Raw genomic sequence first — 27,644 nt, forward strand, 5'->3', positions numbered from 1 at the left:
TTGCATCTTTGTAGATCTCAAGACCTCGGAGATCTTGGGCTGTTTAGGTGAAGATGGTGGCACAGGTGCAGGAAGAAAGAAGAAACTCTTCAAAAGCCCTTTACGTCAGAGTTCCCACTTTTACTATATTAAAATAACGTTACAAAGTGAACTGAGCCATGAAGCCAAGTCAGAAAGCTAGAGAGCCCTGAAGTTTTCACCAAATGTATGGACATAGGCAAGTTTCCTCACCTCCTCAGTCTAAACCACCTATTTACCATCTATTTACCAACCCCAAGACGTAGGCAATTACTAGAACCCTTCCAGAGTCACAGAAAGCAGGGCAGATGGGGCTGTGCTGACTGACAAGAGATGAGCTCTGAGGTTCTGCAGTGAGCAGGTCTATGCAAATCTACCCCTAAATTCTGAGGAAGCTGAGAGGCCAAAGAAAAAGGCTGACAAATCTAGTTTCTTAGAAACTATTAAAAGGGGCCTACATAATAACTATGTTTAAATGATTAAAAATTCTGAGAGAGAAGAGAATCAATACGATAAATTAGGCCAGTAAAGAAAGCAGAATCTATACAGAATTAGAAATAAAAATATAGCTACTGAAGTTAAAAACCCAGAAGATGGGTTCAATGACAGACCTAGATCCGATTCAAGAGAGGAAAGACCTGAGGAAATCCCCCAGAATTCAGTTCAAAGACACAAAAGGATTCTAAGATATGAAATGACAGTGAGCTCAAGATCATATTTAACTTTACATTTACACAGCACTTATGTAGGTAGCCTCTGTCCTGTTCTTTACAAAGATCATCTAACTTAATCCTCTTGACAATCCTCTTTTTCAAATGTAGCTGAGGTACAAAGAGTTTTATGGACTTACCAAAGACACACAGGTAACCTTGGAGGTGGCAGAGCTTGCGTTGGACCCCAGTAATCTACCCTTTCTGACTACAGTACAATGAGCCTCAGAGACCCTACTGCTTCTGTACTCCTCTCTCTGCTGCACTAGCCACCTCCCCCTCTCCACGGGACCATTCCTATCAGCATATCATAATGCTCTTGTATTTCCCAACATTAAAAGAAATCCTTTCTTGATCTCATACCCTCTGTCAGCTACTAATCCCATTATTCTGTGATTTATCACAACCCAAATTTATAGATTTTTACAAAGGCTGTCTTGACTTCCTTACCTACTATTTTCTCTTCAACTCACTCAATCTGTCATCTGTCTTATAGCATACTATCTTAGAGAATCTCTCTGAGCTTCAAATGGATATATTTGATTGCCTATTGAATTCCAAATTTAACTTGTGTAAACTTAACTCTTGACCTCCACTTCTCCATTATATAAATCCAAAAATATATGAAAGTAAATTATATCCACACAAGATGCTTAATTTTTATTTATTTATTTTGAAACAGTCTCGCTCTGTTGCCCAGGCTGGAGTGCAGTGGTGCCATCTCAGCTCACTGTAACGTCCGCCTCCCAGGTTCAAGTGATTCTCCTGCCTCAGCCTCCCGAGTACCTAGGACTACAGGCGCCCACCACCATGCTCGGCTAATTTCTGTATTTTTGGTAGAGATGGAGTTTCGTCATGTTGGCCAGGCTGAGATGTGTATTAATAATAAAGATAAAATACTACTTTCCTGGCATAAATAACTTTAGTCAAGTAAAGTTAATCACCAATAATGTGACAAATAGATCTTGTATGACTCTTGATAATATGCACTGGGAAGGACACAACATCACTCTGTGTTCCTTCCAAAAATATATAACCTAAGTTGAATAAAAAGAAACATCAGGCAAATCTAAACTCAAGGACATTTAAAACAAACAAATGGTCTATAGGTTTTTTACTTTTTATTTTTACTTTTTTGAGACAGAATCTCACTCTGTCACCCAGGCTGGAGTGCAGGGGCACGATCTTGGCTCACTGCAGCCTCCACCTCCTGGGTTCAAGTGATTCTCATGCCTCAGCCTCCCGAGTAGCTGGAACTACAGGCATGCACCACCAAACCCAGCTAATTATTTTATTTTTTGTAGAGAAGGGGTTTCACCATGCTATTTTTTGTATTTTGTATTTCACCATGGTGGCCAGACTGGTCTCGAACTCCTAGCCTCAAGTGATCTGCCCGCCTCAGCCTCCCAAAATGTTGGGATTACAGGCATGAGCCACCATGCCTGGCCTTTGTTGCATCTTTACCTATACCTGATGCTCCACACCGATATGGGGCTGTAGTCCTGCAACATTTTCACAAACATGATTTCATTCTGAGCCTCACAGCACTCCTACAAGAGGAAGGGTAAGAATTATCCTCTCCATTCGGTAGATGCGGTGGTTTAGACTGAGGTGGTGAGGAAACTTATCTATGTCCATACATTTGGTGAAAACTTCAGGGCTCTCTAGCTTTTTGACTTGGGTTCATGGCTCAGTTCACTTTGTAACATCATTTTAAAACAGTAAAAGTGGGAACTCCGACATAAAGGCTTTCGAGGAGTTTCTTCTTTCTTCCTGAACCTGTGCCACCATCTTCACCTAAACAGCCCAAGATCTCCGAGGTCTTGAGATCTACAAAGATGCAAGGGAATCCCACCATCTCCAACATCCCCAACAGCCCAAATACCACCTTTTAGGTGGAGAGTACTCTGTCCCTTGTCACCGCTACCTTTCCAAGGACATCTTCATTATTCTTTCCTTTTTGCTCTGACATCTTTTTGCACAGGCCTTTACTGTAAAGTTTTCACTTTGTATTACAGTTGGTTCTTTGTATGTCTCTCTCTTTCAGCTAGAAATTGATTTCCTTGATGCTGAGTTCATATCGTCTCTGTGTCTTCTTCATCTGTCAGTGTCCTGGCACCCACACATTAGTAATTTGGAGAGAGTTTAAGAAAGGGACTATTTACAAAGATGTGAGCTGGGATTTGGAAAATAAAAGCAATCATAGAGTGTTCCCCCTTCCCCTCTCTCACCCCCCCTCACCATCACTGACCCCCACCTACTTACCAACCCTAAGACCTGGGCAGTTACTGGAACCCTTCCACAATCACAGAAAGCAGGATGGATGGGGCTCTGCCAACTGACAGGAGATGAGCCCTGATGTTCCACAGTGAACAGGTCTACGCAAATCTATTCCTACAGTCTAAGGAAGCTAAGAGGCCAAAGAAAAAGGCTGACAAATCATTCTTAGTAATATTTACTAGGAACTTACAGACAGAAGCCATGTTTGTGTGTCAGGTGGCAGTGAGACGAGATGGTGGATTCCTGTGCTATCAACCTTCAGACCCAGGGCTTATATACCATGGGGAAAGAGTGATTCAGAAGGGATGCATGGGACAATTGAAGTACAATAACATCAAGGTTGTTTGACCTAAGGGCAGGATTTACAGTAAGTACCTGCTCTTACACAAGGAACAGATAAACTGGAAATCTCAGAAGATTCCCAGAACTGGGGTTAACCAGAAATGAACATGGTGGATTAACATCCAAGATGGAGTTACTTTGGCCTGTCTAGAGGGTGAAGCCAGGCCACGAGATCCCCAGTGAGGAGCTCCTGTCTGCTGGCCCATCCTGACTAGAAGCCAGAAGGCAAGGGAGTCGTCAGTGGCATCATCCCCCTTGCGTGCAGAGCAGGGAGAGGCAGAAAATTGGACAGACAGAGAATGTGCCCACATCTTTGCATTCCCAGTGTGTAACAGAGTGCCAAGCACATCATTGCTGCACAGAAATATTTTTAATTGAATTACTGAATCTTAGATGTTGCTCATTGATATCCCTTAGAAATAAAGAAAACTTTTTTTCATTGCTACATGTTTAGCACAGTTTAAGCCAGAGAAATACCAGACATATTATCGAAGTTTCCAGCGTTTTTGCACTGTTGTGATGAACTCAGACTTCTATACCAAAACATAAAGCTAGCTGCTCTATTTAGGAATGTCATAGTCAAAATATAGAGTACTGTAAGATTATGAAGTTATAATTCTTTCCTACTTCATTCAGTTAAAGATCTTATGTACACCTCAATATTAGAAAAACGTATTTTTGTTCTACTTTTCTTACCCAAATGCTAAGGCTCTTCAGCCTGTTTAATAATTAAAGCAACATGAGACTTCGAGTGAATGGCAAATAGTGCAGCTAATGATAAATGTGGACATGTGTGTTAGTTATGCCATCTCTGAAGAAACTGGCGAGTTGGCTTCCTGATTATCCACAGTGACGGCCAATATTCCAAAACAGACACTGCTGCTCCTTCAGGTTTCCATAGCTCTCTTTCCCCAACAGTCAGATTCACTGCTGTTATTAATATCTCAGCATGGTGATGAGTGTAACACAAAATCCTTGCTTCAAAGGCCACTCAGTATTCAATTTTCTAATTGGTTCTTTTAACAAAAACACCCCAAAATGTCTGCAGCATACACTCAAACTCCTTGAACATCTGTAATTAATAAGCTGAGATTGTGGCTCCAATACAAAATCCCAGTGATGACTAATTTGCCGAAAATTTATGGCTTTTGATATTAATCACACAGGGAAGCTGGCCCAGGAGAGGCATGGTTTGTGCCTGGGGTCCAGTTGTATTCATTGGTAGTCCCTGCTTCTTTTCTCAAAAGTGTGCTGATTTGGTCAATAAAATATATGGTAACCCTACATAAGGCCCAGCCTCAGTCTCATTTCAGGACTTTTGGAATAAGTAGATGACAATACTTCTGCAGCAGTACCAACACTAACATGAAAGTTACAACATCCATGCTATCATTTGCTAATTCACTGCCATATTTTGTTAGTTTCCCGTGGGTTCCATAACAGATTATCACAAACTTGCCGGCTTAACACAGCCAACATTTATTAATATTTGCTCACAGTTCTAGAAGGCAGAAGTCTAAAATCAAGGCATGGCCTCCCTGTAGAGGCTCTGGGGGAGAATCTATGCGTCTCCTTTTCTGGTGGCCACTGGGATTCCTTGGCTTGCCGGAGCCTGGTCTCAATCTCCATGCTCTAGGTCACATTGCCACCTCATCTTCTGTCTGTGTAACTTCCCTTTGCCTCAGCCTTATAAGGACACTTGTCACTGTATTTAGGTCCCACCCAGATGCTACAGTAGGGGTCTCCAACTCCTGGGCTGAGGACTTGTACTAGTCCATGGCCTGTTAGGAACCAGGCTGCACAGCAGGAGGTGAGAGCAGCAGGCGAGCGAGCATGATCACCTGAGCTCCACTGCCTGTCAGATCAGCAGTGACATTAGATTCTCCTAAGAGCGTGAAACCTATTGTGAACTGTCCATGCGAGGGATCTAGGTTATGTGTTCTTTATGAGACTCTAATGCCTGATCTGAGGTGGAACAGTTTCATCTCAAACCATCCCCTCATCTCCTTCCCCTGTCCAAGGAAAATTGTCTTCCGGGAAACCAGTCTCTGGTGCCAAAAAGGTTGGAGACCACTGCCCTAGAGTATGATCTCCTCATCTCAAGATCCTTAGCTCAATCACATCAGCAAAGAGCATTTTTTAAAAAATATCATCACATTCACAGGTTTCAGTAATTAGGACATGGACTTATCTTTTTGGAGGACACCCTTGAACCCACTACCCAAGTTAAAGTCAAGCTTACGTTTCCTAGCCATATTTTCGAATATATAAAATTTCTGTTTTACATTTTCAAACATCCTGTGAGTCATTTATACTTGACATAATTACACCTCAGACGTCCCCAGTACAAATTAAAAACCAGTTCAGGACAGCCTCCCTGGCCCTTCTCTGAGAACTCTGCTTTTATTTTATTTTATTTTTATTGAGACAAGGCCTTGCTCTATTGCCCAGGCTGGACTGCAGCGGTGCAATCTCGGCTCACTGCAGCCTCCACCTCCCAAGCTCAAGAGATTGTCCCACCTCAGCCTCCAGAGTAGCTGGGACCACAGGTACGCACCGCTGCACCTGGCTAATTTTTGTATTTTTTTGTAGAGACAGAGTTTCGCTGTGTTGTCCAGGCTGGTCCCGAACTCGTGGGCTCAAGCAATCTGCCCACCTCGGGCTCTTGTGCTGGGATTACAGGTGTGAGCCACTGTGCCCAGCCTGAGAATGCTGCTTTCTATAACCCTCTTCACAGTAGATTAATTCTCTTCTTCTCATGAGTCCAATCCATGTAGAGAGTCCCTCCATGGGACCAGGAAGAGGCAAAGGAGTCATCTGCCTTGGACACAAAATTTAAGGGCATGCCAAAAGTTTTAGTCATCAAGATAAAGAAGAAGAATGACGAGGGTTTTCATCACCCTCTTAAATAAATTTCACATCTATTAAAATATTATTTATCTGGATGACTGAACTTATTGGTATCTCTTGGAAGTTGGCACCAATGGTGAGTACCTCACTCGCCTCCCCCCTGGAGTCTACAACTGCTCCTTGCCTGTGAAATAGCAGGTATCACAGCTTCTGGGTCTGTGACATTCTCACATGGTGAGTGTGTAATATCTGCTCTTTTCTTTCCACACTCAGTATGTCTCAGTATCAAAAATCTGCATTATAGGTAAATAGAATGGAAATGTTCTTAAGGATTTGGGGTTCTTCAGTTACCTGCTCCCTTCCATGTTCCTTACCACCAGCCTGCCACAAAGGCTCTTCCAATCCTTAAGTCCACAGGAAAAAACAACAGGTTTTCTAATTTTTTCTTTTTGAAGCAGCCGTAAAACCAGTGAATGCCAGATTTTTAAAAAGTTTTTTATAGAGACAGGGTCTCACATTGTTGCCTAGGCTGGATTGCAGTGGGGCAGTCATAGCTCACTGCAGCTTTAAACTCTTGGGCTCAAGCAATCCTACTGCCTCCTAGCCTTCTGAGTAGCTGGAACTACAGGCATGCACCACCATGCCTGGCTAATTTTTTTTGTTTGTTCTTTTATAGAGATAGGGTCTTGCTCTGTCATTCAGGCTGGAGTACAGTGGTACAATCATGGCTTATGGCTGGAGTACAGTGGTACAATCATGGCTTATTGCAGCCTCAAACTCCTGGGCTCAAGTGATCCTCCATCCTCAGCCTCCTGAGTAGCTGGGACTACAAGCATGCACCACCATGCCTGGCTAATTTTGTTTGTTTATTTTGTAGAGATGGGATCTCACTAGGTTGCACAGGCCAGTCTCAAACCCACAACTCAGGCAATCCTCTTGCACTAGGAGGCCTCCCAAAGTGCTAGGATTACAGACATGAGCCACCAGGCCAGCCTCAGGTTTTTTTTTAATTAAAAGGTACATTTAAATCAATCAATATGTAGTTGTTGAGTAACTGTTAAGTGCCTCCCCACACCCTGAAAAAAAACTCTCATTTTTCTTTGTATTGAAAAACCCATGTTTGATATATACCACCATGATATCTCTTTCTGACAAGTTATATACAAAGTTATGAAGACCCCAAGCCACTGTCCCGAAAGGCTGGCAGGACAAGCAATGTCTTCTAAGTCAAGCCAGCAGGATCGGAAAAAGCCTTGATCAAAAGAGCTCAACCCGAGCCCTGTATATGCACTTGAGTATGTGTGAGTGTGTGTGTGTATGTATCTGTATATATATATACCTGAGAGTGTGTGTGTATATATATATAGCTGATAGGTGTATATAGGTTTATATATAGCTGATAGGTATACATAGGCATATATATACCTAAGTGTGTGTGTGTGTATGTGTGTACATATATATAGTTGATAGGTGTATATATAGCTGTGTGTGTGTGTATATATACACACACGCGCGCACACACACACACATATAGAGAGAGAGCCTGTTTCCTTAAAATATATTTTCTATAAAATTCCAACCTATTCCTACATTGCCCTCCATCACCTTTCAGAGCTCTCAGGAGCCCCTTTTCCACAAACATGGGAAGGATGCCCTTACCACATGGGAGGGTGTGACATGAGTCTAACTGGCCATGGAGGACGGCACCACCTGCACCTCCCGCAGTGCGTCCTGGGAGAAGCATCTGCCCAACAGTGATTGTTCAGAGTGATTTTCAGAACAGGATAGAACACCACGGCTGGTCTCCTTCCTGAGTAATTACTCCTACAAATTTTCTGTTTAGGTCTGACATCAAGCTGGAACAAAACTGTAGATTATGTGGAGATAAGCTGAATTTGTTATGGGATGTTTATGTAATTCCACATATAAATGATTACAAAAGAAAGAGAATTTCTTGCCTTGTCTTTCCTACTTCAAGCACATATGTATGAGCTGGTGGCTATTTTCTATTTGTTAATAGCTTATTAATAAATCGAATCCATGTTATTTCAGTTTTCAGCTGGCTTTGTTCACTAGTTTTTAGTCTTAGCACACTCAAAGGATGTTGTTTTAAAATAACTGTAAAACTGTAGCCTTAGAATTTGTAAGGGAAAATAATTTACCCTTTTGTCAAGTTCAATAAATATTGTTACAATGTGGTTTACTAAATAAACCATTGGGTTAAGAACAAATGTTAAAATACATTCACAATCTTTCAGTTTTTACATTAAACTAGAAGGGGGGCCGGGTGTGGTGGCTCCCACTTGTAATCTCAGAACTTTGGGAGGCTGAGGCAGGACGATTGCTTAAGGCCAAGAGCTTGAGACCAGCCTGGGCAACATAGTGAGAACGCATCTCTAAAAAAACATTAAAAAAAAACAAAAAACTGGGCATGGCGGCGCATGCCTGTAGTCTCAGCTACTCAGGAGGCTAGGGCAGGAGGATCACTTGAGCACAGAGTTGGAGACTGCAGTGAGCTATGATTGTGCCACTGTACTCCAACCTGGTGACAGAGCAAAATCTCTGTCTCTAAGAAAAAAGACAAGAAAATCATACACACTTATTGGCTTTTGTTTGCAATGTTTGCAGATAATTTAACTTTTAAGTTATGTTTTGGAGAGGCTAGTTGTAAGAGACATTATTTGAGCATACACAGTTGTGTAACAAAGAAAGTAACCTGGGAATTTGTTGGAAAACTGGATAACAGTCCAGTGTGAAACAGAAGAGAAAGAAAAAAGGGAGAGACTAAGCCTGGAAAATATAATTGAGAATACATCCATTCTATTGATAGCTATAAAAGAAAAGGATTGTTTCTTATTTGTGGTTTGAACAGTGTATGACTTTGTAGTCATTTTACATGTTACAAGAGGAATTGGGTGGTGAAAGGAAGAGTTAGAAGGCAGAGCAAAAGAGATTTAAAAGGTGAAGAAAAGAGAATAATGTTAAGATGACTTCCTTTGCGTTGTTTGTTTCTTCTTGACGACAGTTGTTACCTTTGCACTCAATTCCTACTTGAAAAATGAAAGAAAGCCATCCAGATGGGGCAGGTCAAAGAAGAAAAATGCTTGACAGTCATAACCCAATGTAATAACGTCTCATTGTTTCTCCAAGTTTTACCTCAGGTTACTTTGCTTCCATAGACCCAGGTCTAAGCAATAGGAACTACGCAGCTCTTTTAAACTCTTGTTATAGATTATATGACAGAAAATGATCAGAAAAAAACTATATTTAAGCACATCGGCTGCTGGGTGCATTTCATATTCAAACCAGCTCCATTGTTGTCCATCAGCCCAGTATGGCAAGTGCCAGAAGTGATACTGTAGTTCCTTAAGTTGCTTAATCAACATGCGACAGATGCGGCACAGCTTCCTGCTGTTGCACGCTGCTACCAGACTGATCGATGGGCAATCCAAAGCCACACCCTTTGGCTCAATTACACTGATGCTGTCTTTGCTTTCTCTCTCTCTTTTTTTTTAATTATTATTATACTTTAAGTTCTAGGGTACATGTGCACAACGTGCAGGTTTGTTACATATGTATGCATGTGCCATGTTGGTGTGCTGCACCCATTAACTCGTCTTTACATTATGTATTCCTCCTAATGCTATCCCTCCCCGCTCCCCCGACCCCATGACGGGCTCCGGTATGTGATTTTCCCCGCCCTGTGTCCAAGTGTTCTCATTGTTCAGTTCCCACCTGTGAGTGAGAACATGCAGTATTTGGTTTTCTGTCCTTGTGATAGTTTGCTCAGAATGATGGTTTCCAGCTTCATCCATATCCCTGCATAGGACATGAACTCATCCTTTTTTTACAGCTGCATAGTATTCCACAGCGTCTATATGCCACATTTTCTTAATCCAGTCTATCATTGATGGACATGTGGGTTGGTTCTCAAGGATCTAGAACTAGAAATACCATTTGACCCAGCAATCCCATTACTGGGTATATACCCAGAGGATCATAAATCATGCTACTATAAAGACACATACACACGTATGTTTATTGCGGCACTATTTGCTTTCTCTTTTTATTATGTTTGAGCTTGCAATTGGGACAGCTCCTAAATCTCTAATCTCTTTTAAGAAGAAGCTGAAACATTGTTTGGAGTTAACATTCTCCAAACAAAGAGAAGACTGGCATCCTTAAGGTACTTCAAAAGCCATAAATACCTAACATTTTTTTAAAAAGTGAAGTCAAACAAACAAACAAACCAAGAACACACTCTGGGTCACTCTTGCCCTACTCCTTTAAATAGTGACACAGGGGATCCTAGTTGTGTTTGAATTCCAAAGGTAACATGTTCAGAGAAAGACACATAGGGTCCTGTACTTTGGCTGCAGCAGAATGCACTGATGCAATCCTTTCGTCCGGGTAGATGATGGTTCATTAAATATGGTGAGGTTAAATAGACCCACCAGACTGAAGATGCAGCTGGACTCCTGAGTGTATACCAACACCTCCAGCCTCAGCGAGAGCCATCTCTTGGTCCATTCGCAAAGGTGAAACCAGAAATATATCCCCTAGCAGCATGCCAGTGAGCAAAAGATGATTTGGCTTCTTAGCCTCAGATGTATTGGATATGCTGAAGTCATAGGAGATACTAGGTTTTTAAAAATATAATTTTTCTCAGTACATATTCTTTATCAAAATTGTAAATTTCCACATTAATCTTTCAGTTTCTCTTGCAGAAGTAGAGAATGAAAATATAAACTGATTTAAAGCACCTTGTATAATTATCATACTGTAACACTGTAATTAGAATAGTGGTTCTCAAAATGCAATCTCTGTACTCACAGCATCAGCACCACCTGGGAACATGTTAGAAATGCAAATTATCAGGCTTCTCTAGAACCACTAAGAAGCTCTGGCGAGGCCTAGCAATCTGTGTTTTAACAAGCCTTCCAGGCAATGCTGATACAAGGCCAAGTTTAAGAAAAACACTGTCATTATTTATGATTGATTACAGTAACTTCATTATAAATTAAGCAAATGAAAACCACCAAAGTTTACATGTTTTGTCTGTTCTCAGATCTGCTGTTCAGCAAGATAACTGATTTTGAAATTGCTATGTCCACAGGTATTTAAAACATAAATCTTAAATTAATTCCACTGAAAACAGAACTCAGAAAGGATAAATTCTCTGCTGTCTGCTACTGAATTTCTGAAGAAACGTTTGATTCTAGAAAAAAGACATTGTGTCCGTGTTGTTGACATTGTGAATTATTCTAAAGGATGGATGTTATGTGGCTTCAGACTCTCAATGGCATTTGATTAGACTGGGCAAGTTAAATTCCCACAGCAATTAGTGACTGCTCTGACCAAAAAAAGGAATGTGAAACAAAACTAAACACAAAGAAATAAACAACAACTTTTTGTTTGGATATAAATGGGTAGAAATATTTGGGAGACTGATGGAAAGAATAAACAATATACAATAGCATTAACATGACCCACCCCTTCCCACCCAAGGCACTTCCATTTTAAATTAGAGCTGTGTTTTATTCTACTGTAAACCCTTGAAATCACCTCCAATACACAAAGTAGAAAATAAGGCAAAGCAAGGGAAGAGTCTTCAGATCAATCTCTTAAAACCTAAAAGCATGACTAAGTAAATGCTCCTTGGAAAGTTATCAAGGGTTCACATTTTTCTAAAAATTAAGTCTACGAAAAGGAAAACCAAAGAGCATTAAGCCTTATATAATTCAAATATTTACTTCTGCTAAAAAAAAAGGAAACCAGTAAACTGGGCTTTTAATAAGTACTGGAAATAAACTTTACTAAGACATGTGATCAGCACATTAAATTAATTTTAAAACTCTCAGCTACCTATCTGGGGTTGCTAGGTTTCTTTCTTTACAGATAACATCGGGACTGGAAAGGACTTGGGAGCTACTAGGGCTTCTCTGATCCATTTTCTGCGTTTCTTCTCCTTCAGGGTCTGGAGATGCACATAGTCTTACTTCCAGCTCAGGCATTTTATGCGGCTTTTCAAGAAGTTTTTCCTTTTCAGTCCAGTATTTGTACCACTGCCTTTTCTTCTTTAGAAGAAAGTTGAACGTGAAAATTTTCAAGAGTTATTAATGGTTTCCCATAAATAGCCACATGAGCAGGAAGGAAGAAAGGAAAAGGAAAGAAGAAGTAGAAGTAGGAGGAGAAGAAGAAGGGGAGGAGGAGGAAGGAAGAAAGACGTGGCTGAAATGAGACGTAGGCAAGTAACTATGGTCCTCACACACAAATCTGTAGCATAAATGAGTCATCTGACTTTGAGAAGCCTTTAAAGGGAATATGCTCAGAGAATACAGGAAAGCTTCTCTGAGTGATTTCCTGGATGTTTCTCAATGACACACTAAAAATGTATTGCGTACCTTGTAATGAGAGTTGTGCTTCAAATATATTTTATACAACGACTACTGGAGTGGAATATGCTGCCCTGTCCTCTACTGAGAGATGGGACACCAGCGGGCTCATGGACTCTATTAGCACAGTGTAGCTCAAATTCTTATTGGGAACTAATATAATAGGCCCAGTAACAAGAACTTTTCCAAGCATTTACTTTTCCTCAGAAAAACCCTTTTATATTCTGACCCATTTCAACAGGCAGCAGACAACAAAGTGAAAACCAAGGCCTTTATCACCACAAGTAACTTCCTTCCTTTATTAGGACAAGGCAAAAAGAGAAATGATATAGTTTGGATATTTGTCTCCTCCAAGTCTCACGTTGAAATGTGATCCCGAATGTTGGAGATGGGGCCTGGTGAGAGGTATCGGGGGCATGGAGGAGGATCCCTCATGAATGGCTTGGTGTCATCCCATTGGTAATTAGTGAGTTCTTGCTCTATTAGTTCATGCGAGTGCTGGTTGTTTTAAGTAGCAAGACACCCCTACCTCTCTCTTCCTCCCTTTCTCACCATGTGATGTCTGCTCCTCTCGCCTTCTGCCATGAGTGGAAGCTTCCTGACACCTCACCAGAAGCAGACGCTGGTGCTATGCTTCTTGTACAGCCTGCAGGGCCATGAGCCAAATAAACTTCTTATCTTTACAAACTACCCAGCTTTAGGTGTTTTTATAGCAACACAAAATGGACTAAGACAGGAAACAAAAATGGCAATTTCTGGACTTGGATTTCAGATATTTTGAAGCATTTTAATTTCTCTAATGCTCTCGGGAAGAGGGGAAAATGGAAACCAAGTGATGACCCATGTCTATACGTGTCACCAGAGAGAACACAATAGGAGCCACTGCCAACTCCACCTCCCCAGCCCTGCCTAACATCAACCCCGGGAAAGATGGGTTACATTTAAAAAGATGAGGGTGAGACTAGGAAGAGTGAGAGGACAATAAGAAGAGGGCTGTCTCACAAACCCAAGGGAGGAACCCCAGTGAGGTTCTGTGAGATGACCACCCAAATATAATGGATTTGGCAGTTAGGACATGGATGACCTATTCTATCCGATTTCAGCCAACTGGTGAGGGCTAAAATCAGGTTTCCCAGGATTGAGAAGTAAGTGAGAGATGAGATATTTCTTCCAGGAAGCTTGGCAATGAAACAGAGGAGAAGAAAAGGGAAGTAACTTGGTGGAGAGTGTGACACTAGAGAAGGTTTCTATACAATAGTAATATTTGTGCATGATTATAGGAAGGAAGAAAGGAATAAAGAGAAGAGAGAAATACGGTAGAAAAAATAATGAAATAAATCCCCAGAGAAAGTGGAAAAGAAGGAAGATCATTAGCAAAGTTGAAAAAAAATTGATTTTTGAAGAAAGTAAAGATTCCTTCTGCCTCAGATAGGAGGGAGAAAAGGATGGATGAATATATGGTAACTCTGAAAGTGGACAAGAGGGAAATGGAGGCATTAAGATATTTCATAGATTTTTTTTTTTCTGAAAAACTGGGAAGCCAGGCTGTCTGCCAAAAGCAGATATAACTAATGGAGATGTGAATTAGACTGGACTGATTTTACATGGAGAGCTCAAGAGATGTTATGAAAATTGGTCTCTAAGGACAGAAGCTTAGAAAAGGGAATAATAACTCCTATTTATTTACTGTCACTTCTTTAACCATTACACTTCCAGGAAAAATAACACTTTAAAATAAGGAAATAAGGAGTGACACTCGGGCAGTAGTAGAAACATTGGCAACACTTTTGTCTGAAAGAGAAAGTGCAGCTGACTGGTATCTGAGATCTGAACGCGGAGCATGTCAATTGCACTCATAAAGCAGAAAGGTAGCAGCAGCCCAAGACAAGGTAACTATTACTTTCATTCTTGGATTCTCAGGCAGAACTGTGGAGAGATGCCTTCATAACCTCAGGTGTCCCTGACTTGCCTGTTTGGCACAAAAGGGGGAAGCAGAGTGTTACCCCAAATGCTGCATTTATATCGCTTCCTCAGCTCTAGTTGTCAGCACCTGTCAAGGCAAGAGAAAAACAATGCCAAATGAAATAGGGAGCTGAAGAAAATAAACAAGTCTCAGCAGAGCACCAGGTAACACAGACTGCTTCCTGGTTGCTTCCCAAGTTTAGAAAACAGTAAGTTCTAAGAAACTAGAGTTTTATTAGAAAAGGAAAAATATTTAGCTTACACTGACCCAACATGTGTAACAATTCTTCATAAAATTGTTGGCCAAAAATGGGTGATACTCCAAAATGTTTAAATAAACAAATATTAATCCAAAACAGTTTATGTTTCCAAAAGAGTGATGCTTTGAAGATTGGATACACAAGTGAACTATGTATACTCTCCAGCTAAGGAGTCAAACACCTAATCAAAATTTAGCCAATTATTCTTTACTAACGATATATTAACTCAAGAAAATCATAACCATGAAATTATGATTATATGAAAGCATTGGCTAAATATAAATCCTGTCAACAGAAGTGCATAGGACTACAGAAGCAAAACCAGAAGACCCTGTCCAGCATTCACTACAGTCACATTCCCTACACAGGGAGGTAAAAGAAAGGAAAAGAAGAAAATATATACAGGGAAATAAAAAAACAAAAAAATGGTACTTGCATGAAAATAATTGCAAAGACTAGAAATGCCAGCATCTCCAGATGAGAAGGAACCAGTGCAAGAATTCTGGCACCATGAAAAATCTGAATGTGGCACCACCACCAAAGGATGGCACTAGCTCCCCAGTAATGGTCTGTAACCAAAATGGAAACTCAGAAATGACAGATAAAGAATTCAGAGCGGACTGCAAGGAAGTTTAACAAGATCCAAGAGAAGGTTGAAAATCAACACAAAGAAACTTCTAAAGCAATCCAGGAAATGAAGGAAGAGATAAACATCTAAAAAAGAAAAAAAAAGAAAAGGAAAAAAAATTTTAATGGGAGTATATAAAGCGACCAAATGAATGGATTATTGGCATTCCTGAGAGAGATGGAGGCAAAGAGAACAACCTAGAAAACATACTTGAGGGGATAATTCAAGAAAATTTCCCTAATCTTGCTAGACAGGTAGACATCCAGATACAAGAAATCTAGAGAACACCTACAAGATATTATACAAAATGAACATTACCACAGCATACACTCGTCAGACTGTCCAAGGTCAACACTAAAGAAAAAAATTGTAAAGACACCTACAGAAAAAGGTCTGATCACATACAAGGGCCTACCAGGCTACTAGTGGACTTCTCAGCAGAAACCTTACAAGCCAGGAGAGACTGGGAGACTATTTTCAGCATTCATAAAGAAAAGAAATTCCAAGCAAGAGTCTCACATCCCACCAAACCAAGCTTCATAAGCAAAGGACAAATAATTTTTTCCACTGAAGCAAGCGCTAAGGAAATTTGTTACCACTAGACCAACCTTACAAGACATCCTTAAGGGAGGTCTAAACATAGAAATGAAAGAATGATACCTGTTACCACAAAAACACCCTTAAGTACGTAGCCCACAGATCCTATAAAGCAACCATGCAATAGGAACTACAAAGCAAACAGTTGAAAACTTCCATCTCATTCTATGAAGCCAGCATCACTCTGATGCCAAAACCTGGCAAAGACACAAAAAAGAAAACTGCGTGTTACTATCTCTGATGAACAAAGATGCAAGTCCTCAACAAAATGCTACTAAACCAAATCCAGCAGCACATCAAAGAGTCAGGCTTTATTCCTCAGATGCAACTTTGGTTCAAAATCAATAAATGTGATTCAACACATAAACAGAATTAAAAACAAAAACTATATGATCCTCTCCATAGGTGAGGAAAAAGCTTTTGATAAAAATTCAACATCCCTTCATGATAAGGTTTTTTTCAGGAAACTTGGCATCAAAGGAACATACCTCAATATAATAAGAGCCACTATGACAAGCCCATAGCGGACATCATGCTGAATGAGTAAAAACTGGAAGCATTCTCCTTGAGAACTTTGACAAGACAAGGATGCCCACTCTCACTACTCTCATTCAACGTAATACTGGAAGTCATCGCCAAAGGAATCAGGCAAGAGAAAGAAAGAAAATGTATCCAAACAGGAAAAGAAGTCAAACTCTCTTTGCTGATAACATGATTCTATACCTAGAAAACCCAAAAGACTCTGCCAAAAGGCTCCTGAAACTGATAAATGGCTTCAGTAATATTTCAGAACACAAAATCAATGTACAAAAATCTTAGCATTTCTATACATTAATAATGTTCAATCTGAGAGCCAAGAATGGAGTCCCATTTACAATAGCTGCAAGAAAATAAAATAAAATACCTAGGAATACATCAAATCAATAAAGTGAAAGATCTCTACAAGGAACTACAGAACACTGCCGAAAGAAATTATAGATGACACAAACAAATGGAAAAATATTCCATGCTCATGGATAGGAAGAATCAGTATTGTTAAAATGGTCATAGTACCCAAAGCAATCTACAGATTCAATGCTATTCCTATCAAGCTAACAATATCATTTTTCACAGAACTAAGAAAAAACTATTCTAAAATTCACACACAACCAAAACAGAGCCTGAACTGCCAAAGCCATCCTAAGCAAAAAGAACAAGGCTGGAGGCACCACACTGTCCAACTTTATCCTATTAAGCTACATTGACTAAAACAGCATGGCATGGCACTAGTACAAAATCAAACACATAGACCAATGGAACACAATAGAGAACCCAGAAATAAAGCCACACACCTATAGCCATCTGAACTCCTATGAAGTCAACAAAAATAAGCAATGGGAAAAGGTCTCACTATTCAATAAATGGTGCTGGGATAGCTGGCTAGCCAGATGCAGAAGACTGAAACTGGACCCCTAAGTTTCACCACACACAAAAATTAACTCAAGATGGATTAAAGATTTAAATTTTAGACCTAAAACTGTAAGAACTATAGAAGAAAATCTAGAAATCTAAGAAAAACCATTCTGAACATCAGCCTTGGGAAAGAATTTATTACTAAGTCCTCAAAAGCAATTGCAACAAAAACAAAAATTGACAAATCAGACCTAATTACACTAAAGAGCCTCTGCACAGCAACATAAACTATAAACAAAGTAAACAACCTACAGAATGAAAGAAAATATTCACAGATTATGGATCTGGCAGAGGTCTAATATTCAGAATCTATCAGTAAATTGAACAAGTGAAAAACATATAACATTAAAAAACGGGCAAAACATATGAACAGACATTTCTCAAAAGAAGACATACAAGCAGCCAACAAACATATGAAAAAATGCTCAACATCACTAATCATCAGAGAAATGCAAATCAAAACCACAATGAGATACCATCTCATACCAGTCAGAATGGCTAGCATTAAAAAGTCAAAAAACAACAGATGCTAGTGAGGCTACAGAGAAAAGGGAATGTTTATGCACTCATGGTGGGTGTAAATTAGTTTAACCACTGTGGAAAGCAGTTTGTAGGTGTCTCAAAGAACTTAAAACAGAACTGCCATTAGACCCCACAATCTTATTACTGGATGTTATAGATATATCCAAAAGAAAATAAATCATTCTACCAAAAAGACACATACACTCATATGTTCATTGGAGCACTATTCACAGCAGCAAAGACTTGGAATCAACTTACACCCCCATCAGTGGTGGATTGGATATAGAAGATGTGGTATGTATACACCATGGAATACTATGTAGCCATAAAAAGGAACGAAATCATGTCCTTTGTAGCAACATGGATGCAGCTGATTATCCTAAGCAAATTAATGCAGGAACACAAAACCAAGTACTGCATGTTCTCACTTATAAGTGGGAACTAAACAATGGTACTCACGGACATAAAGATGACAACAATAGACACTGGGAACTACTAGATAGGGGAGGGGAGGAGCATGGCAATGACTGAATAACTAATTATTGGATAATATGCTTAGTACCTAGCCGACAGTATTAGTTGTACTCCAAACCTCAGTATCACGCGATATACCCAGGTTTGTTACCGGGGGTACATGGTACAAAGCACATGTACCCCCTGAATCTAAAAGAAAGTTTGTAATTATTTTTTAAAAAAGAAAGCATTGTTATATGAAATCATAACCAATAATCTGATATAGAGCAAGCTTTGAAGAAACTCAAATACCCAGGTTATATTTTGGTGGAATTCATGTTTAATATTTCTGACTTTTAAGAAAAGACTCACTAAGCCTAAAGATCAGAAATTATCTCAGACATATACATTATATATACAAAACAATCTGACTTGACAGGAAACATTATACATATATACATCATATATACAAAATAACCTGGCTTGCTTTCGCTGTCTGACCTTTAATTACCTCCTTACTCTAATTACTAGGACTTCCTCTTTCTCTATCTTCTAATTAACCCAGGAATTTGAATTCCCTGAATCTTCTGCTCTAGGAGAAAGCTGCTTTTCTTCCTCTGTGCTCCAAGACTTTAAGTGCTCTCTTCCTTATGGCTAGCAGAAAAAAAGAAAAAGGATAAAAACCGTGGCACGCACTATATTTTCCCATGTCTTCCTTTTGTTCTACCATGAAAGAGTTGCAATTCAGTTACTTCCTTTGAATGCTTTCTCTAACTTCAATTTTTATATTGCATCAAATAACTTGTTTGCTTATCTTCGTAACTTTTAGCCCTAAGAGACTTCTTAAATGGGTGAAACCATTTATTCCTGAATATTTTGAAATCGTGTCACACCCAAAATGTGTTTTTAGCCAAGCAATACCGTAGTTTCTTAAAATATCTGTTTAGATAACGCAGGAATGGAAAACCAAACACCGCATGTTCTCACTCATAAGTGGGAGCTGAACAACGAGAACGCATGGATATGAGAAGGGGAACAACACACACTGGGGCCTATCGTAGGGGGAGGGAGAGCATCAGGAAAAATAGCTAATGCATGCTACGCTTAATACTTAGGTGGTGGGTTGATAGGTGCAGCAAACCACCATGGCACACGTTTACCCATGTAACACGCTTACCTGTCTATGCAAACCCACGTGTTCTGCGCGTGTACCCCGGAACTTAAAATAAAAAAGAAAAGAAACACAGTGAAACCCCGTCTCTACTAAAAATACAAAAAATTAGCCAGGCATGGTGGTGGGTGCCTGTAGTCCCAGCTACTCGGCAGGCTGAGGCAGGAGAATGGCGTGAACCCAGAAGGCGGAGCTTACAGTGAGCAGAGATCGCGCTACTACATTCCAGCCTGGGCTACAGAGCTAGACTCGGTCAGAAAAGAAAAGAAAAGAAAAGAAAAGAGAAGAGAAGAGAAGAGAAGAGAAGAGAAGAGAAGAGAAGAGAAGAGAAGAGAAGAGAAGAGAAGAGAAGAGAAGAGAAGAGAAGAGAGAAAGAAAAGAAGGAAAGAAAGAAGGAAAGAAAGAAAGAAAGGAAGAAGGAAAGAAAAGAAAGAAAGAAAGAGAGAAAGAGAGAGAGAGAAAGAAAGAAAGAAAGAAGGAAAGAAAAGAAAGAAAGAGAGAAGGAAAGAGAGAAAGACAGAGAGAGAGAAAAAGAGAGAACAAACAGAAGGTTAAGAAAAACCAGTTTAGGAAATACATCCACCCTGAAATTTTAATGGGCAGGAAATCTTGTGATCTTAGCTTTTGATGACATGTGCTGTTAAAAAAGCACATGTAGATTCATAAATATGGCGGTGGCCAAATAATTAATGAATCAGAATCCAAGCACCTATCTCTGCCACTTGGAGCTTTACGGTGAGTTATATAACCATAGCAAGCTTTAGTTTCCTCATTCAAAAAATAAAAATAACGATATTGAAAAAAAAAATTCTTTACAAAAAAAATTTAAGATATTTTGTTATGCCTTCCATTATTGTCTCACCATCAAATTGGCTGAAATACCCATTTTACACATGAGCATATTAAGGCAAGTTTATTTGTCTCCAAATTTATTTAATTTTTATCTCTGATCATTATTTAGAGTCTCTGCCTCAAAGATAGTTGTGAAAGTTACATGATTAATGTCAATTAAATTACATGTAATATAAAACACTTAGGAAAGTGTCTATGAGAAAGCAAGTAGTATAGAAATGTTAGCTGCTGCTATTATCATTTTAGGAGTGATTAAGCAGATAATGATTGATTACTCTAATAGTTGGCCTGTATTTTCTGCCTAAGAAACCTGTGGGATGTGGCTTTCTTTTTCAGAGAAGTCATGTGAAAGTCAATATTGTAAATATATTAAACTCCTTGTTTAAATGTGCATAGGGATTACTATTAACCAAAAATTTCACATTAAAACTTCAGACATATGAATGTATATTGGAAAAGAACAAACTGCAAAGCTGAACATGAGACGGAAACTGTAGAGGAACTTTATGTTTGCTTTCATTTCCTACATAGATCTCTTGAACTTGAGAAGCTTCTGTTGAGGTTTCATCTGTCAAAATGTTGCTTCGTTCCTATTATTCATAAATTTCCCTGACGTAAGGCTCCAGTAAAAACTGTGAGTCATGGTCCACTCTTTTGTAACTGTCACAAAATACAAATTTCTGTAACAATTGTAAAGTAGTGCCACATTTTACCATACCGTGCTGAGTTATACAGTCTTCAGGATGTGGGGAACGAGGAATGCAACTGATTGTAAGTGGGAATTGCATGGTTTAGCAAACAAGTTGATGTTTCTAGCAAAGGACAAGCTATCACCAGGACTACATGTAAGAAACAAGAAACTGTACAGAAGCCCAAATATGCGGTCTGTCATGTTGATGGTGGGGATATTTTTTTGTGTAAAAATCTACTGATCATACCCCAGTATTTAAAAAGACCATCTAAAAGCTTTACATAAATTCAAATTAATTTCAAGAGAAGAAATATAAAATAGTCCAATCACTTCATAAACTAAGAACAGATGATGTAAAACCTGACTCACAAATGTAATAAAATATATATTTAGAAAGGCAGAGAAGATGGTGTAAAAGATAAAGCACCTACAAAGGGGATGAATCAATAAAAGAGAAGGAGGCTTGGCATGGGGCTGACACCTATAATCCCAGCACCTTGGGAGGCCAAGGTGGGAGGATCGCTTGAGGCCATTTCTACCTTGGGGAACATAACAATACTCTTTCTACAAAATAAAAATAAAAATAAGCTGGTTGTAGTGGTGCATGCTTGTAAACCCAGGCACTGTGGAGACTAGGGCAGGAGGATTTCTTGAGGCTAGGTGTTTGAGACCAGCGTAGGCAACACAGCGAGACCCTGTCTCTAAAAAAAGTTTTCTTTCAATTAGCCAGGTGTGGTGGTATGCACCTGTGGTCATAGCTACTTGGGAAGCTGAGGCAGGAGGATCCCTTGAGCCCAGGAGGTTGAAGCTGCAGTGAGCCATGATTGCACCACTGAGCTCCAGCCTGGGCAACAGAGTGAGAGTCTGTCTCTAAAAATTAAAAAAAAAAAATTGTGAGGAAGAAGAGGAGGGAAGAAGAGGTCTACAAAGAGAAATACTTCCCAGAATAGGGAAGAGAATGTAACTTCAGGAAAGTCATAACAGAGGCATAGTGGTACCCAGGGAACAATTAAAAGAGCTCCTTCTACATTAAATAAGAAATTGGAGGTGAAAAGTTTTTGCATATTAATTTTCAAATTTCAACATCTATTTTAAAGTATAGATTCACTCTCTGATCACATTCTGTAGATTTTTCATCGCATTGGGTCATAATGGTGTATGTATAATCATTAAATTTGGATCATGGATAATAATATTTAGGGTAATTTTTTATGTTTCATTTTTATTGGCTTTCACTGCAGTGGAAGTATAAATATGATTCTTATGGAAATAAAGAAAACTTACTCTGTTTGTTCTAACCAAAGGGATTAAGGGAATATATGAGGTCTCATTTGAGTTGGACCTCAACCTCCTGAATTGAAAAAATAAAGCAAAACAAACTTATTATTAAGGAAAATTACAAATAAACATAAATGTGAAGAGAATAGTAAAATAATTTCATGTACAGCTGCTCCCCAGTGTTAGGGGGAGGAGCGGCTCCAGGACAGACCATGGACACCAAAATCCAGGAATGCTCAAGTCCCTCATAAGAAATAGCATAGTTGTAATCCCAGCACTTTGGGAGGCCGAGGCGGGTGGATCATGAGGTCAGGAGATCGAGACCATCCTGGCTAACAAGGTGAAACCCCGTCTCTACTAAAAATACAAAAAATTAGCCGGGCGTGGTGGCGGGCGCCTGTAGTCCCAGCTACTCGGGAGGCTGAGGCAGGAGAATGGCGTGAACCCGGGAAGCGGAGCTTGCAGTGAGCCGAGATTGCGCCACTGCAGTCCGCAGTCCGGCCTGGGCGACAGAGCGAGACTCCGTCTCAAAAAAAGAAAAAAAGAAAAAAAAAAAAAAAAAAAAAGAAATAGCATAGTATTAGCATGTAACTTGTGAATGCCTGTATACTTTAAATCATCTCCCAGATTACTTGTAACACCAATATAATGTAAATAGTTCTTACACTGTATTTTTATTTGTATTATTTTTGTTGTTATATTGTTATTTTTTAATTTTTCTGAATATTTCCCATCTGCTGTTGGTTGAATCTGCAGATGTGGAACCTGCAGCAACAGAGGGCTGACTGTACTCACCACTCAAATTCAAAGTTGATCAATGCCTTGCCAATTTCATTGTAGCTATTCCCTTGTTTAAATACACGTGCACACGCGTGTGCACACACACACACACACAGATGGAGGCAGAGAGCCGACCATATGTGTCCATGTATGTCTGTGTACATATATACATATGTGTAGTTTTATATGGGGGCATACACACATAGAGCTGAAGTGCAGTGTTTTCAAATAGTGCTACTCAAGGTCAGTCTGAAACCCAGCAACATCAGCAGCAGCAGGAACCCTTTGGAAATGCAAACCCTCATTTCCACTACAGACCTCCTGAATCGGAACCTCTGGGTGTGTGACTTGGTATTCTGTGTTTTAATGGGCTCTCCAAGTGATTCTGATGCATGCACAAATTTGAGAAGCAAAGTTTGAAAGCAAATTCCATATATTATGTCATGTCATCTGTGAAAACTCCATTATGCCTCTATAACTGATACTACTACGTCCAACAAAATTATGAGTAATTCCTTAATAACATCCAACCTAGGGTAGTCACAGGTCCTGGCTGGCCCAGGCCCGTCCAGTTGACACCTGCTGTCCTGGAATAATTATTAACATCACTCCTTTCACACTCAGAAGTGTCCCAGTTAGGATGACAAACGTTACGGTCACTGTTTTCATACTTCTGAAGATTATAAACCAAGATTCACCTTTGTCCTCTCTATCCTGTTCCCTCCCCTCCCTTTGGTAACCATTTTTTATTGGTTTTATTTATTCTTCATTTGTTTATTTTTGAAACTGTGAATTAACTCATCTGAGTTTCACTTGCTTTCTCTTTTAACACGATTCCACAGCTCACATTTTTAAACTTCGCAATATACAGGAGAGATAACTCTATGGCAGTGTACAGGGACCTTTCTCTTTCCTCTTACAGCTACATAATAATCCTTTTTGTGAAAGTTATAGTCATCAGACTGTTATTGATAGACATTTGGGTTGTTTACAGTCCTTTGCTATTTCAAATAGTACAGCAATGACTAACATTGGCCATGTGGTCATTTCATAATTTTGCCCATGTGTCTGGGAGAGATTTCTAGAAGTGGGGCTGCTGGGCCAAAGTGTGAATGTACATATAATTTTGCTAGATACTGCAAAATACCACTGTATGGGGATGTGCAAATTGGATATTTGAGTTCCTGTTTTCCCACTGCCTCCTTTAGAGGATATGTTATCTAACTTTGGAACGTCTGACTCTCTGATAAGCAGAGATATGGTATCTCAGTGTAGTTTGCTTTTTTAACTTCTTACTGACATAATATCCATATAGAAAAGTGTACATATATATACAGATGGAAACTTCACAAACCAAACACACCTGGTAACCAGCACACTGATGAAGAAACAGAAAATTATCAGATGTCTAGAACCTCCCACAGACTCTCTTAGTAAACTGTAATGTGTCTTTCGCTTACTTCGAGCAAAGGTAAGCTCCTTTTCATATATGTCAGGACTTTTATGCATTTCCATACTGAATATCCCAGTACGGCTTATTAGTTTTTAGGCAACTTGTGCTAGCAGAAACATCAACTGGGACAGAAAAGGATGGAAACATTATAAAATAAAATGAGACCTTTGGGCCCAGAGACTTCTGCAGACCTCATCCTCCCATGTCGCTAGGACTACCTAAACATGCCACCACATCTGGCTAATTTTTAAATTTTCTGTAGAGATGTGGTCTCACTATGTTGCCCAGGCTGGTCTCAAACTCCTTGCCTCAAGCGATCCTCCTGCCTTCCAAAGTGCTTGGATTACAGACGTGAACCACCACACCTGGCTGACTGCCTTTTGGAATGGCGGCATCCATAGCAGCTATCCTATGCTGTCCTCCCTATCGTAGGTTGCATGTGGAGAGCAGATAAATTGTATCTTTAGCTCGCAAGTCTTTAGATTGAGAAGAAGTAGCCTCTGGAGCTCTGAACCACTGTGTAAGAAGCTGAGGTTGCCCTGCTTGTGAGGAAACAGAAACTAATCAGGAAGAGAGACCACACCAAGAGAGAGATGCCTCACCCATGCCTGCATGCATCAGCACACCGCTGATCCCACGGCAGCCACCATCACACTGCAACCTCGAGAGCGGAGGTGAGGCAGAAATACTCCATTGAGCCATTTCCAAAGTCCTGCTCACAAAAACCAAGAGGAATACTGCATGATAGTCATGGCTTTGAAATACCACTTGGGGGTCATTACGCAACAATAGATAACTGGGACTGATTTCGATCCTTGCTCATGAAGTTAAAAAAAATCCGATTTCCTACTGAATGTAACTCAAAAAGAAACTCAGGAATCGCAGATAAAAAACAGTTTAAGTTTTGGAAATTAATTCTGGAACTCAAGAGATGTTTAATTTAATACAAATCATTTGTAATTTCAAGTTACCTGGCTGCCTCCTCACACTCTAATTTGCAACGAGACACAGTGCCTGCATTTATAGCCAACAATTACTTAACTACGAGATTTTAATTGTTCTAGGTTTTAAAAAATCTAGTCGCTACAAGTGAAGATAATCAATAATTAAAAAAACCATACTATCAAAAGCAAACACACTCTGGGAATAAAAATGGAACTATGATTCTCAGTTCTCCATCAGTTGTTGTAGCTTGGCTCTGAGTGGAAATGTCAAAGAAGTCATTGGACAGAAATTATTCTGTGGGTCAAAACAGTGTTCCTTTTAAGAACAACTGACCAATTAAATTTATCTAAAGAAAATTGGGACTTGAAAGACATTTTGAAAACCCGAATTTTATCATTTGATATTTAATATTGCCAAGGCCCAAAGCATCACCATTGGATATAATTTCCGATTATTTTATTCCATCATGTTAAAAATAACACCAAACTCTCTCCTTGATTGAAGTAGTAACCAATAATAAAAATATTGAGTTATATACTTTTTATAAAGAAGAGCTCTCTAAGCTGACTTGTGAACGTAGGTGTGGCATTGAATTACTGAGCCAATGAGGCATAACTGCTGCTGTAATTTGATTATTGAAAAATTAGTGTTTGACTCGCCTTTTAGATGGTAAATGTGGTTTTCCTCTGAAAGCGTGTGGAGTCTCAGCACATTTCATCATATTTAATGGCTGTTTCCCTTTCTCTTTAGTGGTTTTTATTTTTAATTTTCACAGGGTATCAGGATGTGACCTGTTTTGTTTCAGTATTGCCTCAAAGACTGAGAAATAAGGGGTTCCAGGCACTGTTAAATTCCAAAGAGCACCTACACAAGGCATGTAAGAGCCAGAAGCAGATTTTACAAAGCTTAACCCTTCAGCCAACCGGAGCCGTAAAAGGACTGAATGCAAAGAGGAAGAGAGAGTGAGGATTTCTTTGGACCATGTTGTGATGTGCGGGGTCTTCCCCTCCCACCTTTGTCCCACATGCGGGAGAGGGGAGGGGAGGTTCACCCCCACCACCGTGGGAAGGAGGCTGCAGTAGAGCTGAGGCAGGAGGTGGGATTTGACTCCGGAGGTGGGATTTGACTCCGGAGGTGGGGCTCAGACACCGGACCAAATTGAGGACTAGCTAAAACAGAGAGGGGACAGAAGTACTTTCCATGACACTCCTACCAGTATGCCATGTCAGTTTACCATTGCCATGGCAACACCTGGAAGTTAGGATCCCTTTCCATGGCAACAACCTGATGACCTGGAAGTTACTACCCTTTTTGGAGAAATTTCTGCATAATCCACCCCTTAATTTACATATAATTGAAAGTGGGTATAAGTATAACTGCAGAACCGCCTCTGAGCTGCTACCCTGGAGAAACTGCCCATGGGGCAGCCCTGCTTTGCAAGGAGCAGGACCTCTGCTGCTGCTGCACACTGCCGCTTCAATAAAATTTGCTGTCTAACACCACTGGCTCACCCTTGAATTCTTTCCTGGGTGAACCCTCCCAAGCTAAGCCCCAAGTTTGGGGCTCTCCTGCCCTGCATCAGAACCAGGTGGAGAGCTTGGCACAAGCATAAGGGGTGGGCCGCAACGGCGAGGCCAGGTCAGCCTGATGTGGTGCTTGGTGTACAGCACGTTCCACCAGTGGCAGGCTCAGGAGCACATTCTTCCATTGGGCCAAGGGGGCAGCCCACAGCTGGACGTGGTCATTTACAAAGGAGGATGGTTTTCAAAGGCCTTCATCCAGGGCAAGCCTAACTGCCCCCCACAGAAAGGACTGGAGGTATTCCTTAGTCAAAGGGACTCAAGGTTAAAAGAGGTTGAAACTGGCCAGCCAGGAAAGTCAAGATCTACCTCATTTGGCAGGAATTCAGCCAGAGGTACCCAGAGGGGATTCCTTACGAACTCATAAAAGCCTCCTTATCTCCCAGAAAAGGAGTGGGTTGTGGGGATCCACCACACTCAGAGAG

The 27,644-nt window shown here is 40.1% G+C and overlaps 1 long non-coding RNA gene across 1 annotated transcript in view, besides 2 other annotated features; it reads right to left on the reverse strand.

Annotated features, from left to right (window-relative positions):
* Positions 1-27,644, reverse strand: part of LOC100128993 (uncharacterized) — a 61,849-nt gene that overhangs the window by 4,789 nt on the left and 29,416 nt on the right. The gene's annotated exons all lie outside the window — the stretch shown is intronic.
* Positions 5,510-6,709: an enhancer, noted in NCBI's record as "CDK7 strongly-dependent group 2 enhancer chr8:19051482-19052681 (GRCh37/hg19 assembly coordinates)". NCBI's record gives its function as "activates an origin of replication core promoter dependent on BRD2, BRD4, P300/CBP, MED14 and CDK7 cofactors, with strong dependence on CDK7, by STARR-seq in HCT116 cells {active_cell/tissue: HCT116}" and the evidence as "EXISTENCE:reporter gene assay evidence [ECO:0000049][PMID:35650434]".
* Positions 22,927-23,083: a silencer, noted in NCBI's record as "fragment chr8:19068899-19069055 (GRCh37/hg19 assembly coordinates)". NCBI's record gives its function as "represses an EF-1alpha promoter that drives an FKBP-Casp9 reporter gene in an ReSE screen in K562 erythroleukemia cells {active_cell/tissue: K562}" and the evidence as "EXISTENCE:reporter gene assay evidence [ECO:0000049][PMID:32094911]".

The sequence above is a fragment of the Homo sapiens genome, chromosome 8, assembly GCF_000001405.40.
Source record: "Homo sapiens chromosome 8, GRCh38.p14 Primary Assembly".
NCBI lineage: Eukaryota > Metazoa > Chordata > Mammalia > Primates > Hominidae > Homo > Homo sapiens.